A 5,857-nucleotide genomic window follows, 5' to 3' on the forward strand; every position below is an offset into this window, starting at 1 on the left:
CACCTGCACACTAGTGCTCAGAAATCTCTGTTAACTTGAACTTTTGAAAACATAACGCATAATGATCATGGAAGTCAATGCTGAGATTCAGCCAGTGCACAATGGGTTACAGCCACCGTGCTTATGTTTGGAGTCTTTTCTGATGGTGGCATCATCTTTGTTACTCAGTGCTCATGAAAAATTGATTTTTACATATTTTGAATATTATCCTTGAATGGATGCATAGTGATTGCTATCCTAAATTCTTCAGGTCAATGTCACTTCTTCTCAATTAATGCTGTCACTGACTTAGTTAAGGGTCTTGTGATAGTTTGCCAAGGCTATTGCAAAAGGCCCTGATACACCATGAGGCCAGGAGCGTTTGCCATAGGATATAGGCCGGATGAGATATGTCTAGGTAGGCAAGACTGCCCAAGCCTCTGCTGTCATGATAGATTTAGAACCTTCAAGGAAAACAAAATACACACACACAGAAAGATTCAGAGAAGACAGAAACTAAGAAGGGAGTTTTGGTTCAAGAAAGATGGGCTAATGTCAGAGGAGAGATGATTCTGAAGTTGACAGTGTGTCTACTCAGGAAGTCTCCCAGCCAATCTTGTAGCCTTTTGCCTGAGTTTCAGGACAAAGTGAATGCAGGTGAAAATCAAAAATTAATTTCACCTCGATCTTGGCAGGACTTTGGAAGTGTAGCCCTTGGCAGCATTGACTTCAGTACTTTCTCTAGCCAGAAGAGGTATCCTTAGCAGACACCTCAGTTCCATCAAAACCTTGATGTATATGCCAGTGGGTGTCCGCAGAAGCAGCATCCCCCTAGGCTCCTTGACAGTAGGTTAGCAACAAAACAGCCTGTTTGGATATTGAGAGCCATGGTCATGGGATCCATGACCATAGAAAGCCAGTGTCCTAATACATCCATTTATTGATTCCAATCAATACTGAGTTCTTACGAACTAAGAATAAGGGATTAAGAATATAGTAATATAGCAAAACAACAATACCTGCCTTTTTGACCATTAACCACAGTAAAAAATACATTTTCTATCCCAATCCAGTACACATGCATATATGTGTACATATACCACCATGTATATTGAAACAATGCTAACCCTTGCCATGCATACTCTGATGTATTCTGTATTTACAGATATTTTCTATTATGCCATATTTTATTTAAAAAGATACAATGGTCAGTCCTGCTAAATTGATTTATGTATCATTAATGGTCTGTGACCCACGGTTTGAAAAACACTTCTCTAACAGGGACTGAAGCTGTTATATCCAATGTTTATTAAGCATTTACTACAGTGCTAGGCACTGTTCTAAGTATATTACATGTATTAACTTATTTAGTCCTCATAACTTAACCATGTTCACTCAGTAAGTGGAGGAAGCAGGATTTTCCAGACAGTCTTAAAATTCTACACACTTAACCAGGGAGGAAGGAAACAGTGAATATTACAGAATAACTAAAGGGACAAGACACCTTTAAAGACTCCCAGATCTAATTAGGAAACAAATTTAGGGCAGAGTTTTCTATGAACAATCAAGAAAATGATGCCTTACGAGTGTTATATGATGCTTTTGCCTTATAACAGTGCTATGGCTGGAAAACACAGGCGACACCCCACTCCATCCCTGCTTCTTCTAGAATTGAGTTCTTTCAATGCAAATTGATCTTTTCATCCTCCGACTTCAAAATCTTCAGTGAATCTCCAGTGCTCACTTGGAAAATTCCATTCGCCTTAGCATGGAGTGTGTATTCCTTTGTGCGCCACCCCTGACTACATATTTAGCCTCAATTTTCATCACTCCCCACAGGAATCTACATTGCAACCAGGCCTCGGTATCTGCTAAGCATAAACAAGCTATGGCCTTTCCTGTTTCTGTACTTCCGTATATGTGCTTGGTCTTTGTATACGTTCTTTCCCCCGCCTAGCATTCCCTTCTCATATTCTCCACTGGTTGCTTCCTACTCACTCTTCAAGAACTTGTTGACTTTTTGGTGAAGCTTTCTTTAGCTCCCTCCCTGGCACAATTAAGTGGTATCTCTTGCTGTTTTACAGCCCCTTATATAGACCTCTATTATCTCACGTATTACCTGACATTATCATGATGGTTTGCCTAATCAATTTTCTGAAAGCAGAGCTTATGCCATATCACCTTCTTGCTACTCAAGAGGAGGACTTGGGGATTTTCTTTTAAAACACTAATAAAAAATCCACACCATAGGGGAAAAAATATTGTTTTCATGCTCCTTATTGTTCCAAGAACTACTCTAATAGCTGAGAGCCATGAGTCTAGTCACATTGGGCTGCAGCTAGAACAGGAAATGTCTATTGGAAGTAACATAGTATGCTTGGAGGCAGAAGCCAGGCCAAATTAAAGCATCTTAGAGAAGCCTGGAATTTAAACACTGGAGAGAACAATTCAATAATTGAGGGAGTATGTCACAGGGTTTTATAAAAGGGCTCAGTCTCAGTATTGAGTAATGGAATGTTGCTTAGCAATTGCCAGGATTATCCATGACATCTATTGCTCACATTTACAGAAATGGGTTAAGCAGATTACATTTCTATAAAATATAAGGATTTCTAAATATAAACACAAATGTCATAAAAGAAAGCATTAATAAATATAAATTTATAAAAATTAAAAAGTTCTCCACATTTAAAAGCATAATAAAGAGAAAACAATAGGAGGATGAGAAAATTTTTTTTAACATATTTGATGTATATCTTTAATATACAAAGAGCCTTTACAAATCAATAAGACAATATAATCCTCCCAACAGGAAAATATAGAAAAACAATTTACAAATAATAAATAAATACACACATATTCTGTGTCAGTCAGAGTTTAACCACTGAAGAATAACCAGTATGAGATACATATTAAGATATTGACTGTGGGGACTTGGCTTACATGATTGTATGTCTGAAATCCATCACGTGGGTCCTCAGGAAAGGTAGACTGAAGCTGTCCATAGGTGAAGTTTCCTCTTCAGGAAACAGCTATGCTCTTAAGTCCTCTTAATGATTGAATCAGGCCCACCTAGATTACCTCAAATAATCTCCCTTCCTTAAAGGCAACTGATTATGGACTTTAATCACTTCTCAAAATATCTTCACAGCAACATCACAGTTTAATGTGTCAAGTTAATACAACAAAAATCGTACTGTCTATCCCTTGAAAACTTGACAGTTATACACATTTTCCTAAACCATATTTAATCTCCAAGCAGAAAAAAAAGTCATATATTTCTACCTAACCTGAAACAATTATCTTTCATATAACTGAAAACACAGTAACCTTTTCACCAGAAAAGGATGCAAAGTTTTTTGGGAGTTGTTCCTTCTTTTTTTATATCCAGTAACTTAAATAATGTGATATAAAGTTAACTATTATTAATACATCTTATATTAAATGATGGGGGATAAGAAAAAAAGAAATCAAAATGTCATTTACATATATATATACACACACACACACACAAATACATACACACACTCATATGCCCACATACAAACATATTCATAACAAAATAAGGAAGAAATACTTACAACATTTACAGTCATTGTTTCTGCAATTGGTCACACACTTGTAGCTGATATTTGTAACTGCCTTCTCCCACTAGGCACTCCGTATTCCCTTTTCCTTCAGCAGCACCTCTGATGGTCATGGTTGTTTGCCTGGTGGAGTGATCCAAACCTTCCTTTCTGAAGAGTCTGGGCCACTCTCAGGTTTGTTATAGTTTTCCATTGGCTTTAATCACAGGACATGGGAGTACTAGGAGATGCCAACCTAAGGGCCTCCTGCATTCTAAACATAGTGTCCGTTACCTCCATTGTGGAGTAGCAGTTTAATTTCCCCTTGATGATTAGGACTGATAATCCCAGCCAGTACAGTAACTCTCTTCTTTGCCTGTGAACTCAGAGACATGAGGAGCTTACAATGGTCAGGTAATAGCTTCAATTTCCAGATCAATGGAATCATTGTGATGTCTTCTGGTAGAAGCACTCCTAACTTTGGAACTAAGACTTCTAGATCAACAATGCAAAAGTTCAGGGGGATGGCAAGCAAAACTCCTGATAGTGGCTTCCCAGGAGTAAGAGTGAGTGGAGTCATTTTCATCCCTTGATTTTCTCGTTTTCACCCCTTGATTCCTGGACCCATGAATCCTGGCTATGGGAGAAGCAGCACCATACACTAGATGCAGATTTACAGCACATACAGCCTCCTGGAGGAAAGTACTTCAGTCCTGGAAGGTGTCGCCATGTAGTTGGTGCTGTCTCTGAATTTCCAAAAGGCCATTCCAATATTCTATGAAGCAGCTACTTCAGGATGCTGAGGAACATGGTAAGATCAGTGAATTTCATGAACGTGGACCCATTACTGCACTTTATTTGCATGAAGTAAATTTCTTAATCAGAAGCAATGCTAGATGGAATACTGTGATGGCAAAAAAGGCATTCTGTATGTCCACTGATGGTAGTTTTGGCAGAAACACTGTATGCAGGGAAGGAAAATCCACACCCAGAGTAAGTGTCCATTCCAGTAAGAACAAAGCATTGCCTCTTCCATGATAAACGCAATCCAATGCTGTCATACCACTACATTGCTGGCTGATCACTGCTGGGAATGGTGCTGTATCAGGGACTCGGTATTGGTTTGTTTTCCAGCAGACTGGGCACTCAGCAGTGGCTGTAGTCAGTCCAGTCTTGGTGAGTGGAAGTCCATGTTACTGAGCACTTTCATAACCTCCATCTCTGCCACCATGGCCACTTTGCCCATGAGCGCATTCCGTAATGACAGTACTGGCCGGGGAAAGAAGCTGACTGGTATCCAGAGAACAGACCGTCCTGTCCACTTGATTATCAAAATCCTCCTATGCTGAGGTCACCCTTTGATTAGCATTCATATGGGACACAGATATCTTTACACTCTTTGCCATCAAAAAGGTTTTTCCACATACCTCTTTCCCAAACCTCTTTGTTACCAATTTTATAATCATTTTGTTTCCAAACCATTGGCCACAGATCATATATCTGTATAGACTCTTACCTCTGGTTATTTCCTTTGCCAGTGTGTCTCCAGGTGCTGTGTTTGAAGTTCTGCCCACTGGGAGAAATTTCCTTCACTGCCGTCTTTCAAGGATGTCCAGAAAGGGGCTGCACTGCTGTTGCTGTCCACTTTTGAATGGTGCCTGAATATTGTGCAGAAACATCTGTAAATCAGGCCCAAGTTTTATCTTCCTCAGTCAACTAGTTGCGTGTGTGTGTGTGTGTGTGCGCGTGCGCGCGTGCACATGCACTTGGGGGAAGGTGTATATATTTGTGTGTGTGTGTGTGTGTGTATAAATATATATATATATATGTCTATATCTACTCATCCTCATTTAAAATAAGTTAGTATACAACAACAAAAAAAATAAGTTTAAGCAGTTATGCTGCATCTTTCCAGGCAGCTAAGGTTAGCATGCATATAAAAACTGTGTATTCAAATTCTTTAAGTCTCATAAAGTGCAATAGTATGTACAGTATTATTTCTCGGTAAGCTTAACACAGTCAATTTTTTCTCTTCCACTAGAATAGATCATTTCTTTGGTTGCTCATCAGATAATTAGCTTGCCAGGAAAGGAGCTAAGACCATGTTACAAGATTTACATATAGATATCTAAACACCACAGAAACAACAGCAAAGCAAGTTACTCACCAAATGACAGCCAAGAGGGAACTAAGACCTTTAGATAGAAGAGTAAATGTCTACCCCTCTCATCTCATGAGCTAAATAAATAAACAAGCCAATCAGCCAACCAACCCAGAGTAAGGATTATTTTCAAAGTCAATACAAAACTCTA

Source organism: Homo sapiens, chromosome 1, assembly GCF_000001405.40.
Source record: "Homo sapiens chromosome 1, GRCh38.p14 Primary Assembly".
Taxonomy (NCBI): domain Eukaryota; kingdom Metazoa; phylum Chordata; class Mammalia; order Primates; family Hominidae; genus Homo; species Homo sapiens.